Here is a 14,888-nt window from a genome sequence, read left to right on the forward strand (position 1 = left end):
GATCTTAGCTCACTGCAGCCTCCACCTCCCAGGTTCAACTGATTCTCATGCCTCAGCCTCCCGAGAAGATGGGACTACAGGTGCATGCCATCACACCTGGCTATTTTTTGTATGTTTACAAAAATAGTAGAGGCAGGGTTTCACTAAGCTCGTCTCCAACTCCTGACCTCAAGTGATCTGCCCTCCTCGGCCTTCCAAAGTGCTGGCATTAGAGGAGTGAACCACTGCATGTGGCCTGTGATTCCTTTTTAAGTATTATTTTATCTCTTTTCTCTTGCACTTTACTATAAGTGGTAAAGAGAAACCACACCATTCGTTCATCACTTTGCTTAGAAATCTCCTCAGCAAAATATACAGTTTCATCACTTGAAAGTTCTACCTTTCACAAAATATTAGAACATGATACATCCAAGTTCTTTGCCACTTTAAAACAAGGATCACTTTTCCTCCTGTTTCTAATAAGCTGCATCTCATTTCCATATGAGATCTCACCAGAATGGCGTTCAGCTTTCAGAATTTTACCAACATTCTATTCATGATGATATAGGCATTTTCAAAGCCAATGGAGAAATGCTTTTAAAAAATAGTTCACCTCTTTTCTTTCTGTAGCAGCACCGTAACTTAATTGGAAGGGGATACAATCCAGTCTGTCCGTAACAGTTGGTCACTATGGTTCCAAGCTTGAGTATAACTACAAAACATCTTTTTTAATCTCAAGACATTTAATAAAAAGAAATAATGTTAATGTAGTTAGAGCAGATTACTAGATGAAATGCATGACAGATAAGGAATTGATGTAAGCACTATATTTCACTCAGGTCATTTTAAAACCACCATAATAACTATCAAATCATTGCACTGGGCCAGGCACAGTGGCTCATGCCTGTAATGCTGGCACTTTGGGAGGCTGAGGCGGGTGGATCATCTGAGGTCAGGATTTCGAGACGAGCCTGGATAGCCTGGTGAAAATCCGTCTCTACTAAACAAAAAATTAGCCGGGTATGGTGGCACAAGTCTATAATCTCAGCTACTCAGGAGGCTCAGGCAGGAGAATTGTTTGAACCCAGGAAGTGGAGATTGCAATGAGCCAAGATCGTGACACTACACTCCAGCCTGGGCAGCAAGAACGAAACTCTGTCTCAAAAAAAAAAAAAAAAAAAAAAAAATCATTGCATTGAATTGTATGCTCCAAAATTTTCTTCATTCTCAACAATAAATGGAGATAGGTGATTATAAGAACACAATTCAATATTGCTTGAAAACATTCCAGTAATTTCACTGGAAAAATGTTTATAACATAGAATATGAGCTTAATGATAAGAAACTTGTTTGCTCTGTTCAATACTGAATACTCAATTCCAATCACTGGGCCTGGTATGTGAAAAGAGCTTCTTGGTTTAAAAAATTTACTTAAATTGTCAATGAGTGAGGGAAAAATAAGACACATTTTATGTTATACTACCTACAATAGCAATAGAAATTGTCGAACAGATTTTACTTTTTAAATGCCGATTTTACTTGTAATCTATACATAATAGGAAAATGGGATTAGGTTTTTATTAACTAGAAGAAGCTGTTACGAGAACGTCGACAGAAGTCTTCTGAGTATTTTCAAGTGCAATGTTACTCACGTTTAAGAAACAACTTAGATATATGATAAATAAAAAATTTGTTGTGCAATAAAATTACAGTGCAAGACGAACCATAATCTGTACAAAGAATTAAAACCTAAATATGTCAACGGATCGTAAGTATCAAGTGACAACAAATGAATAGATTAATTTTTACAGGGCTCATGACCTCTGCTTATTACCTTTAAATGACTGCAAAAGAAAAAATAACTCTTTTGGCAGGTTAATATTTGGATTTTATCTATCATAATCACTTATGCCATGGGTCCCAAAAAATGTTCCGGGCTGCATATATGTTCTGCATATGAATCTTGGAAGAATACTCATTTACTGTCAACAGTAGTTGTTTTAAAAAGTAAAATGACATTTTATGCAGAATTCTCTTCTTTTCCCTTAGCATGCTGTGTTAGTTTCCTAAGGCTAGGAACAGAACAAATGACTACAAACCGTGGGGCTTAAGACGACAGAAATTTATTTTTTCACCATTCACGAGGCCAGAAATTCAAAAAGGAGGTGTGAGTATGATTGATTTCTTTGAGAGGCTTTCAGGTAAAATCTCCTTCTTAGCTTCTGGTGGTTTCCAGCTGTCCTTGGCATTCCGTGACTGTAGGCAGCGTAACTCCAGACTCTGCCTCCCTTGTCCCATGGCCGTCTTCCCTGTAGGTCTCTGTATGTTCCCACGACCTTCCTGAAAGGACACAGCCATTGGCTTTACAGCCCACCCTAATGCATTGTGACCTTGTCTTAACTAAGTGTTATCTGCAGAGACCCTGTTTCCAAATAGTTTAACATTCCTGGGTTCCAGCTGGACATGACTTTCTGCGGGACACTATTCAACATGGGAAACATGCGTGTATTTTTTAGAACATAATGAGTTCTGCCTCTGTTATAAAGCCCCCTTTCTTTTCATTAGTGTTGATTATTATAAAATAGCATGGAGAGTTGACAGAGCTCTAAGTAGTTCTGTACAGCCACAGCACGGGAAACAAATGGGGGAGTGGGAAGAAATAAGATTTGATAAATAGTTCAGGGCAAGATGATAGAAGGGCATGTACATCATGCTAAAAAAAAGTGATTGCTGTTTTGTGGCAAGGAAGAACAATAAAAATTTAGAAATATTTATTAGGTGTCTATTCTGTGTTAATAATGTACAAATACATTCTGGGGATAATGAGCTGAAAAAGGTATATGGCTTCATGTGTATCACAGTGCAACAAGAAACCAATTCCTGAGACAGAAACAATTGGTAAAGGAGCACATTTGGTCATGCCTGTAATCCCAGCACTTTGGGAGGCCAAGGCGGGCGGATCACGAGGTCAGGAGATCGAGACCAGCCTGGCAACATGGCGAAACCCCGTCTCTACTAAAAAAATACAAAAAATTAGCCGGGCGTGGTGGCGGGCGCCAGTAGTCCCAGCTACTAGGGGGGCTGAGGCAGGAGAATGGCGTGAACCTGGGAGGCGGAGCTTGCAGTGAGCTGAGATCTTGCCACTGAACTCCAGCCTGGGCAGGAGAGAGATTCCGTCTCAAAAAAAAAAAAAAAAAAAAAAAAACCAACAACAACAACAAAAACCAGGAGCATATTTGGGTTTCTCAAGCTTGAAGTTGAAAAAAATTAGGTAGAAAACAGGTCTAGCCACGCTGAAATGTTCCTAGTGTAAACAAAGTAATAGGAGGAAAATCTCCTGATATCTCAAAGGGAAAGCATGAAGAGATGACAGGAAATAGGATTCAGAGCTTTGCAACATTGTAAAGTGTTACCAGCGTTAAGAATGTTCTTAGAAGAAAGAAAAACATTGGAAAATAAAAAGAGAAAGGTGGTTGGAGTTATAAAAAGGAGATGGAGGAAGAAAAGAATATACCAACTGGAAGAGCAAAAGTTGAAAACACACAAACTTATGAGAACATTTTAACTTTAACTGAGGAATGTTCAGTGACACAATAGAGCTCTCCCCATCTCTTCTCCCTTTCTCGGTGCTCTTTTTCCCCCACTATCTTCTTCCCCTCGCCCTCTCCCCGCTGTAGTTTGTTCTTCTTTTTTGAGATGGAGTCTCACTCTGTCATCCAGGCTGGAGTGCAATGGTGAGTTCTCAGCTCACTGCAACCTCCGCCTCCGGGGTTCAAGCGATTCTCCTGCCTCAGGCGCTGGAGTAGCTGGATTACAGGCGCTCGCCATCACGCCCAGCTAATTTTTGTATTTTTAGTAGAGACTGGGTTTCAGCATGTTGGTCAGGCAGGTCTCGAACTCCTGACCTTGTGATCCGCCCGCATCAGCCTCCCAAAGTGCTGGGATTACAGGCGTGAGCCACCGCGCCCGGCCTTGTCCTCATCGTCTTCTTTTCCACCCTCCTTTCTCCTCACCGTTTTCCTCCACTGTCTTCTCTACCACACTGTCTTCTCCCTGCACTTTCTCCCCACTGTCTTCTTCCCCACCTTTCTCCCCATCCCACTTTCCAAGGTCTTTCCCACCCTCTCCGTCCCCTCCTCCCCCTCTCCCCGCAGTCTTCCGGGCCCCACTGTCTTTCGCCCGCAGCCAACACTGTTCAGTTCTGAGGTAGCGGCGGGGGCGGGGGCGGCGGCAGCCGTGATGGCCCTGGCAGCGACTCTCCTGGGTCTCCTGTTGGCTGTTGGGGCGGAGCTCAGGGGCCCAGCTCATGGGGCTGGCTGGGCGCACAGACACACCAGGCGCAGGGACACAGGCGGGCGCACGCGTGGAGCGCTTCTAGGTGAAAGGCAGTTGGAGAGCGCGAGAAGGGGGTGGGCAAGAAGACGATCGGGGGCGAAGACGGTGGGGAGTGGAAGAGGGGAGAAGAGGGTGCGGGGAGAGAAAAACGCGGCAGGAAGTCGCTGCTGCGAGAAGGTGGGGAGGGGAAGAAGATGGCGGAGAATAAGAGGCTGGGGAAAAAAGACGATGGGAGGGGGAGAGAAGAAAGTGGGAAGAAGATTGCGACTGACAGACGCTGCTGCGAGACGGTGGGAGGACATGGGAAGAAAACGGTGTGAGGGGAAGAAAACGGGGGACAAAACGGTTGTGGGGAAGGCGCGGGGAGAAGACAGTGAGGAGAAGAGGGCGTGGGGAGAGGACGGTGGGGAAGAGGAAGAGAAGATGGTGAGGGGAGAGAAAAGCGCGGCAGGAAGACGCTGCTGCGAGAAGGTGGGGATATGGAGGCGGCAAGAAAATGGAGAAGAGGCTGGGAAAGACGACGATTGGGAGAGGAGAAGAGGGTGGGAAGAAGGCGATGGGGAGAGGAGAAGAGGGTGGGAAGAAGACTAAGGCAGACATGGGAAGAAAAGGGTGCGGGGTGAGGAAGAAAACGGTTGGCGGTAATAGGCCGGGAGAAGACGGTGAGGAGGGGGAGGGGAGAAGAGGGAGCGGCGGGAAGACGCTGCTGGGGGAATAGGCGGGAAGGTGGAGACTGGAAGCCAGCGGGTGGAGAGAAGGAGATGGAAGGAAAAGCTGCCGCCACAGGAACCCGTGCTGCGAGGAATGGGAGAGACTGAGGGGAAGAAAACGGTGGGGAAGGGGAAAAAAAACTGCGGGGGAGAAGAAGGTGCGGGAAGAAGACAGTAGGGAGACGGCAGAAGAGGATGCGGGAAGACCGCAGTGGGGAAGAAGGAGGGGAGAAGACGGAGAGGGGAGAAAAAGGTGGGAAGACGTTGGGAAAGGAGAAGGGTCGGGAAGGAGAGGGGAGGGAAGGAGAGGGGAGGGAAAGGGCAGAAGGTGGGGAAGAAGACTGGAAAAGGGGTGAAGGGAAGAAAAGGATGGGGAGGGAGGAGGGAAGAGGGTTGGGGGGAAGAAGAAGGGAGGGGAAAGCGGCGAAGACGACCTTGGGGAAAGAGATGGAGAGGGGAAAAAGATGGGTGGGAGAGAAGAGGATGAGGCAGGGAACGAGGTGGGGAGGGGAAGAAAAAGGCAGAAAGACGGGCTGAGAAGAGTGCTGGGAGAAGAAGGGGGAGCGGAGGGAGGGAGAAGGGAAGCGGGGAAAGACGATGGGAGAAGGTGGTGGGGGAGAAGAAGGCAGTGTGGGAGAAGAGTTGAGGGAAAAAGAAACAATAGTGATGCTAATGTTAAACGTCGTCGTCTTGGAGCAAAAGAAGCAAGTGCTGCTTTAGACTCCCGGCCTAACTTTGTTCAATAAATTCCCACTTCCAAATATCTTGTGATTGCAGTGTGGGTCATTTTTAGTACTTAGATCCAGAGCAGTCTCTGATTGTTAGTGACAGTGCTGTCAAATTGCATGCTGTTCACCAGCTATAAACGAAAACATCACATTTCCTTGAAGTGCACTTTAACGTGTAATTCAAAGACTTTTCCAAGAAGCTTATTGGGGAAAAATAGAGGTGTGTACCTTTGGCATTGGACATGGAGTCTCTGATTTTAGATTGTAGTTGTTTCCCCAAATCTTTAAGATTGTGGCAGAAACATGATTGTGACTACGGCATTCATTTTGTAGGGCAGTGCGTGTTATTTTAACAAAGGGTAAACTGATATGCCTATAAGAAAATGTAATTCAATTTAATTCACTCATACAAATTTAGGTTTCCTTAATATAAAAAAACCCAAAAACAGTTAAATTGCCTTAGTCTTTTAACATAATTTCATGCTTAGAGTCAAGAGAATTTGTAAATGCAATCCTGTAATGCTGGTGTTGCGTTATGCCTATATAAAATAACATGTTAAACCTAAATGTTCCTTTTTTATTTGGCATTATGGAACTTCATAGAAGTTTATGTGTATTAATACAGGTGAACTTGACATAAATTATTAATTGGTGAATGATAACTTATTGCTTGTAAAATAAGCAGTTAAATGTAAGGATGTAAATACATTTTATATTACCCTATAGTTTATTTTAAATATTTTCTTCTTTTGTATTCTAGTTTAAAATCCTGGAATACTTACTGATATCTTATTTCCCCATGAAAAGGCTTCCGCTAACTATACTGTATTTCCAAGCAAATGTCTGTACCAGAACATCAAGTGTAGAAATTAAGCAAAATCTGTCTTTTAGGACAGGTGCAGTGGGTCGCACCTGTAATCCTAGCACTTTGGGAGGCCAAGGCAGGTGGGTGGCTTGAACTCAGGAGTCCCATACCAGCCTGGGCAACATGGTGAAACCCTGCCTGTACAAAAATAAACAAATTAGCCGGGCATGGTGGTGCACATCTTGTATTTTATTCAATCAAATTGAAGGCTTCATTTACCCTTGGAAAAGAAAATGATTTAATGTACTCTCATAGAAAATAATTAACCTCATGCCCAGAACGGGTTCACTTACAGCACACGTTCATTCATTCTGTCAGACAGTGGGTTAAATGTGTCTGAGCACTGCCTATGAGTCAGGAACACAAGTCAGTATCCGCACTGAATATTACCCAAGCTTTTTCCATCTGTTATATAGAGTAACATAGATAACTTCATGGACATCATCTCTTTAATTTGTTGTGGAATACTTAACATGACCTCCTCGTATATAATTATCAGTGCTGTTCTTAAATAGATGTTATCATCTGGATATTTACTAGACTTACAATGACTTACTGCAGAAATGTCATCCATATCTAATGTGTACTATACTAAGTCTCACATGGTGGTTTTGGTTTTAAATAAGCTCTTGGAAATCAGGCGGTTTGCGTTTTGTTTTCATCTTATTGTATACTATGAAGTAAAGTCAATAAAGATTCTGGAAACACAGCTGTGAAAAGGTCCATTGTTAGGTCCCTCCATGCAAGCTTTGGGTATTTGACACACCATCAGGCATAGGCAACATTTGCAACATTAAAACAGGAAGTTGCAATTTGGGTCATCCTCAGTCACTGACAGTCTATGTGCAAATTTAACAGCATGGCCACCCTATATACACATAGGACAGTGTTTGGATTGGCTTTTTAAAACAAATTATATCCTTTTGCCAAAAAAAAAGATACGCATGGTAATAACTGCAAGTTACCATGCTTTCTTAAGAAAGAATATCTGGAAAATATATATGAAAACAAACTACATATGCCTTTTTAAAAACATTCTATGTTATTGTGGAAGCAAAGTCACAGAAAAAAATGGTTAGAGAAAATCTGAATCAGCATGAAATAAAATATTTTGAGGGTTATTGAACACTGTTCATTTTCATGAAAATAGGACAAGTTCATTTAGCACAGCTATTTCTGTAATTGTGATACATTAGCAAAATTAGCTGTGTTCTGCGGTGCTCGAACTTGCTCTGTGTATGAAATGGCGTACCGTTAATACAAGGAAATTTGTTGTGAAACACATACTGTAGAATTAAGTTCAAAATCTCTCTGTGCTTAAATCACTTAATTTTGTTAAATAAAACTTGGTTTCCAACATTGGTTTTTTTTCTCCAGAAAAGCACAATCTGCTAAATTCTTAACCAAGTGGAAAAGAAAATATTCAAGAAAAATAAAGCAATTGTGCACGTCACACTATAGTTGAAAGTGTTCTGATACTGAAGCTATGTCCAGTATTTTAAGCTGCTTTTATGCACCGTGATTACTTCTACATTAATCTCAGAAGATTCTAGATGGAAATTCAAACGGGGCCCAGCCAATTAAATGTGACTCTCTGAGAGAATCCTAGTGATACTGACTTTTCCGTTTTCTGATCATTGATCAGATGGTTACAGATGCATGAAAGATACATGATTTTTAAAAACAAGATGTTATTTAAAATACCAGTGTTCAGTGCTTGCATTTGCAAGAACATAAATATTAGATGATACTGAGAACATTCCTTAATAATCAGCAAAGGTAAAATGTTGTTGTTCTGATTTTGAAAAAAGTGAAGAGGGTTACCATGAAATTATTAATTTTTTTTTTTTTTTTTTTCTAAGACATAGTCTTGCTCTGTTGCCCAGGCTGGAGTGCAGTGGCGAGATCTCAGCTCACTGCAAGCTCCGCCTCCTAGGTTCACACCATTCTCCTGCCTCAGCCTCCAAAGTAGCTAGGACTACAGGCGCCCGCCACCACACCCGGCTAATTTTTTGTATTTTTAGTAGAGACGGGGTTTCACCGTGGTCTCGATCTCCTGACCTCATGATCCGCCCAACTCAGCCTCCCAAAGTGCTGAGATTACAGGCATGAGCCACTGCGTCTGGCTGAAATTATTAATATTTTACTTACATTTGTTACCAAATAACTGAATTCTAAAGTAGAATTGCTGAAGTCACTGGAGTTTGATACTTCAGGATTGATGGTTTTGGTTGAATTCTTAAAAAAAGTCAAACTATAACTATATGGTATAAACAAATATGTTCATTTGTTTAATAGAAATTAAATATATATACATACAACATTCTTAGGTCAAATAGTCAATTGAATGGTTAACAAAACTACTTCCCAGTCAATTGCTTTGTCATTGTTAAGATAAATCTTCAAAGAATTTGGATTTTTTAAAAATAAGATTTGACTTGTAACTAACATAAGTATGAATTTGATAGTTATATTTTGATTTGTCAGAAATCTGAATGATTATAGAAAATTGTTTCAGTATGTCAAATTAGTTCCATGGCACCCGTGGTTATGTAACTGTTGGTACCTGTGGGGAGGGGTCCTTTTTTTCTTAATTCTCAAGCCCATAAGCAATCATTGACAATACTCAATTCTGATTCCTTTTCTTGGGGCCACATAAAGTTTTATCCCTGTCTCTATTTCTAGAAATATCTAGAAAACCTTCCTATCATGAGAGAGTCTTTTGCCAGACAATATAATAGTTTTTCAGGAGTGCAACTGCTTGGATAGATATTTTCAGTTTGGAGTTGTCAAATCATGTTCTATCATCTCAACTATTCCATATGCCAGCAGTGTTTTGGGATTGTGACACAACATTTCATTTTTCATTTTATTCACTTGGAAAAAATCAAATAATAACTATGCTGTTGCCTTAGGAATCAGAGGTATTTGCTGTTTGATACAGAGTAGGAACATTGCAATTACCTCAAGAAAATGATGACATTCTTCTAGACTGAAAAATGCACGTGTCCTTGACCAAATAACAACTCTCTTTCTTGTACAGATGGCCCAGACACTCAGAAACTGCCTATTCAGAACATGGCACATCATAGAGATGAATTTTTAATAATTTTATTTGCCCATGTTTTCTGATGGTTCTATTTCACTGTGAACGCTCAGTACCAACAATTAATAACAGGTAATTTGGAGGCTGGTGTTTACAACTGATTGATCACACCGGTTACAGATTTCTTTGTTCCTTCTCCAATTCAGTCTACGCTGTGACAAAAAATAAGACATTTATAAATATAAACATTTTATTTGCAGTGTAGCATACATTCAAATTAGGTGGTTGTGTAGACATTTTGACAAATAGTGCCATTTCTCTTTTAACACATAGGTCCTTAGTAAGCACTGCTTTCTAACACCAGTTTAAGATAGTTCTTAATTCTTTTCATCTAACGTTACAATATAAAAGTTTCAAGAATGGCGCAAAGAAAAAATTATTTGTCAAATAAAACAATATTATCAGACATAATCAAGAACATTTTTATAAGATAATTTTGTGAGGTCAACAACAAAACAACACAAGTGAGAGAAAATTTCAAATACCATTTTTTATGATGAATAAATGTCAGACTTATGCTTCTGATAAAGACAGATTAGGTATCCTAGAATAATTTAAATTAGGTTTTGTATGTAAAATAACATTTTAAAACAAATCAGGTCCTGGCACAGTGGCTCACGCCTATAATCCCAGCACTTTGGGAGGCCGAGGTGGGTGGATCACTTGAGGTCAGGAGGTTGAGACCAGCCTGGCTAACGTGGCGAAACCCCGTGTCTACTAAAAATACAAAAATTAGTAGTGGCGTGCGCCTGTAGTCACGGCTACTCGGGAAGCTGAGGCAGGAGAATCCCTTGATTCTCAGAGGCGGACGTTGCAGTCAGCCGAGATTGTGCCACTGCACTCCAGCCTGGGTGACAGAGCAAGACTCCATCACAAAAAAATAAAAATAAAATAAATAAATGAATAAAATAAATAAGAGGTAATAATTTATTATTATTTTTTAACACTAACTGAGTTAATGCACAGCTAAGAATTGTCAGGCTAAGATTTGGAGAGAAACAGCATTTAGAGAAATAAGAGCTGCTTTGCCCTGGAGCCATTTATTACTTCAGATGGGATATCTACCAGGTTGTGTTAAACCTCTGCTAGTCTTGCAGAGGCCCCCAGTTTGGTCATGGATATCAAAAGCTGCTGGTACATTAAAGCAGTGAGAAGGAACCAGAATTCACCCAGTCACCACAGCAGGCTGGCTGCTCTCCAACTGAGTGCCCAAAAAGGTTCCAACTCCAAATTTTTATGAAAGTAATTCAGAATTTGACTGTCCTTATACTTCTGCATGAGCAAATAGCAATCATTTGAGAAAGAAAACATTAGTTGGGCCTCTAAAGACAGACAAAACCAGTTGTTCACCCACTATATTTTGTACATTTGCTCAAAGATGTGAGGGTCAATGAAGAAAAAAGACACTGTGAGAAGGAATAAACAGATGCCAAGGAAAAAGAAAAAAATGTGTCAAAGCAACTAGAATTAGTATATTCAAAGGCATGAGGTCAAGTTTGGAAACTTCAACAAGAAAGTGGAAACTATGAAATTGACAGGTTAGGGTAAATAAAAACACACAAAAATTCTAAGACTAAAAAGTGTGAGGAAGAAAAAGGTGACTCAATAAATGAGTTTAACAGCAAATGAGGCTGGGTGCCGTGGCTCATGCCTGTAATCCCAGCACTTTGGGAGGCCGAGGAGGGTGGATCACAAGGTCAGGAGATCGAGACCATCCTGGCTACACAGTGAAACCCTGTCTCTACGAAAAATACAAAAAATTAGCCAGGCATGGTGGTGGACAACTTTAGTCCCAGCTACTCGGGAGGCTGAGGCAGGAGAATGTCGTGAACCTGGGAGGTGGAGCTTGCAGTGAGCCGAGATCTCGCCACTGCACTGAAAAAAAAAAAAAAAAAAAAAAAAAAACCTTTTGTGAATCCAAGCATCTCTTACAGGTCTACTGCTTCCACCCCTTCCCATCTGTCATCTCAGGTCTCGATTAGTAGCCTGTCCTTCTAGATGCTTTTTACTCCTTCTATTGTTCCTTTTGTCTTTCCATGAAGCCATCTAGCCGATTTTTCAAAAATATCATTTAAAATGTCACCCTTTGGCTCAAATTCTTTGAATGAGGGCAAAACTCATCTTTTATTTTTTTTTAAAAATTTAACTTTTAAGGTCTGGGTACATACGCAGGCTTGTTCCATAGGTACACTTGTGTCATGGGGGTTGTTGTATAGATTCTTTCATCATCCAGGTATTAAGCCTAGTACCCACTATTTTTTTTTTTCTGCTCTTCTCCCTCCTCCCACCCTCCACCCTTCGAAAGGCCCCAGTGTTTGTCATTCCCCTCTATGTGTCCATGTGTTCTCATCATTTAGCTCCCACTTATAAGCTTGCTAAGGATAATGGCCTCCAGCTCCATCCATGTCCCTGCAGAGGACACGATCTCATTCTTTTTTATGTCTGCATAGTACCCCATGGTGTATGGTGTGTATATACCACATTTTCTTTATCCAGCCTATCGTTGATGGGTATTTGGGTTGATTCCATGTCTTTGCTATTGTGACTAGTGCTGGAATGAACATACACATGCATATGTCTTTATAATAAAATGATTTATATTCCTTTGGGTATACACCCAGTAATGGGATTGCTTCATTGAATGGTATTTCAGTCTTGGGTCTTTGAGGAATTGCCACTGTCTTCCACAATGGCTGAATTAATTTACACTCCCACCAACAGTGCCTAAGTGTTCCCTTTTTCTCCACAACCTTGCCAGCATCTGTTATTTTTTGACTTTTTAGTAATAGCCATTCTGACTAGTGTGAGGTGGTAGCTCGTTGTGGTTTTGATTTGCATTTCTCTAATGATCAGTGATGTTGAACGTCTTTTCAAAAGAAAACTCATTTTTCTTGCACTGTTGAGCTGATTACCATCAGTTCCAAACCTCCCCCCTTTACCTTGCTTGCCGGCTTTGCCTTTTCTGTGGCACGGTGTGAAACTTCATCTGCAGCATCTGCTAAAGGGACGCTGGAGAAGGTTGGGGCTCTTTCTAGTTCTGAGTGCTCCTCTTACCTTGCTCTTGTGGGGGACAGCAGCCAACCCTGGCCATCACCTCTCTGGGGACAGAGCAGGTCACAAGCAGCACTTAGGGGAGCAGTTTTCCAGTGTTTTGTCAGTGTAGAAACTCAGCAAAATTCTCTGCTGTCTAGCAGGCTACATCCTCACCCTCTCCAAGGAGGTCTAGCACTCACTTCTGGTGTGTGTGGGAGATTCTTCCAGATTTGTTTCTTCCTGCAGTGCTTGCCTGAAGCTCTGGAGAGCACATTGGCAGCTCCGTGAATTTGCTGTCCCTATTTTGTGTGTGTGTTTGCTTTGCCTTTCCTAAGCTTGTCCAACCCACAGCCTAGGGCTGCTTTGAATGAGGCCCAACACAAATTTGTAAACTTCCTTAAAACACTATGAGATTTTTGGCTGGGTGCCAGTGGTTCATGCCTATAATCCCAGCACTTTGGGAGGCCGAGGCAGGCAGAGCACTTGAGTTCAGGAGTTCAAGACCAGCCTGGCCAACATGGTGAAAACCCGTCTCTCTACTAAAAGTACAAAAATTAGCCAGGTGTGGTGGCACATGCCTGTAATCCCACCTACTCAGGAGGCTGAGGCACAAGAATTGATTGAGTCTGGAGGCAGAGGTTGCAGTGAGCCGAGATCATGCCACTACACTCCAGCCTGGGTGACAGAGTTAAGACTCTGTCCAAAAAAACAAAACAACAGGCTGGGTGCAGTGGCTCACACCTGTAATCCCAGAACTTTGGGAGGCCGAGCCAAGCAGATCATGAGATCAAGAGATCGAGACCATGCTGGCCAACATGGTGAAACCTCATCTCTACTAAAAATACAAAAATTAGCTGGGCGTGTGCCTGTAGTTCCAGCTACTCGGGAGGCTGAAGCAGGAGAATTGCTTAAACCCAGGAAGCAGAGGTTGCCATGAGTCGAGATGGTGCCACTGCACTCCAGTCTGGCAACAGGGCGAGACTCCGTATCAGAAAAAAACCCAAAAAACAAAAACCAAACCAAACAACAACAACAAAAACCCAAAACAAACAGAAAAACACTATGAGGTTTTTTGTGATTTTTTTTTTTTTTTTAGCTTATTGGCCATCATTAGTGTTCATGTATTTTATGTGTGGCCCGAGACAATTCTTCCAATGTGTCCCAGGGAAGCCAAAAGATTGGACACCCCTGCTTTAAGAGAGAATTCCCTGAAATAGTTAACAGTTATTTACTTTCAATTTTCCTTATTCAAATTACTGTGCAGTTTCAGCCTCCTGGTTGGACAGTAACTGACCACAATGTCTCCCAAGGCCTGGCATTATTTAGCTCCTGGCATTGCTCTGAAACTGTCGTCTACCATCCTCCCGTTGTGCACTTTGCTCTGGCCTCACTGATGGGCACGTTCTTCCCAGAACATCCTCCTACTTAAGCTTTGTCTTACTTTTTGCCTAGAATCTTCTTCTTGCTATTCAAATATCTCATTACCAGAATTTTCCACATATGATGTAAAATGTGCTTCTAATACAACACTTTCTCTCTACTTTAGCCTACTTCATTTTTCATAAAAGTTCTTGTCACCACATGACATTACAGTCATTTACTTCCTGGCTCTCTGACTCCTCTCACTGGAAAGTTATGCCCTTGACAGCACACACAGTCTGTTTTCTTCCTGGTTAATCCTTGTGCCTGCACCTCCGTATAGCCTAGCACGTGGTAGACAATGAAACGACTGAATGAATTAATGAACAAATGAAGTAGTATACTTCCTAGATGAGAAAACTGAGACTCAAAAGTGATAAGTACCAAATCAGTATAACATAAAAGTTAGGAGTTTAAGCTCTTTGGGGAGAAATGTGGGTTTAAATGTGGGTTTTGCTACATCCTACTAGTGTAACTTATATATATTTCTTAAATTCTCTGTGCCTCATTTTCCTTATCTGAAAAATGTGGATTATAATGGTAACTACTTTATACTGGGCTATCTAGAGTAAATAAATTATGTATATAATATGCCTAGTACAGTGCTTGACACAAATTAACAATTCCACATATTTAGTTACTTGTACAATTATCTGTAGCTGCAAAACTATAAATGCAGGTTTGTCATCTTTCTGGGGAGATAGCAAGAGAAA

The 14,888-nt window shown here is 41.5% G+C and overlaps 1 long non-coding RNA gene across 1 annotated transcript, besides 1 other annotated feature; it reads right to left on the reverse strand.

Annotated features, from left to right (window-relative positions):
* Window positions 1-2,080: 2,080 nt before the first annotated feature.
* On the reverse strand, window positions 2,081-5,294 carry LOC100996294 (uncharacterized). Its single transcript, XR_007065660.1, has 2 exons — window positions 4,241-5,294; window positions 2,081-2,319 (listed from the first exon to the last, which is right to left on the reverse strand). It is a non-coding gene; the product is annotated as an uncharacterized LOC100996294 (long non-coding RNA).
* Window positions 4,103-4,691: an enhancer, noted in NCBI's record as "NANOG-H3K27ac-H3K4me1 hESC enhancer chr17:20435377-20435965 (GRCh37/hg19 assembly coordinates)". NCBI's record gives its function as "activates a minimal SCP1, AML or CMV promoter by ChIP-STARR-seq in naive H9 embryonic stem cells {active_cell/tissue: H9 hESC(naive)}" and the evidence as "EXISTENCE:reporter gene assay evidence [ECO:0000049][PMID:30033119]".
* Window positions 5,295-14,888: the final 9,594 nt, after the last annotated feature.

This window comes from Homo sapiens, chromosome 17 (genome assembly GCF_000001405.40).
Source record: "Homo sapiens chromosome 17, GRCh38.p14 Primary Assembly".
In the NCBI taxonomy this organism is placed as follows: Eukaryota; Metazoa; Chordata; class Mammalia; order Primates; family Hominidae; genus Homo; species Homo sapiens.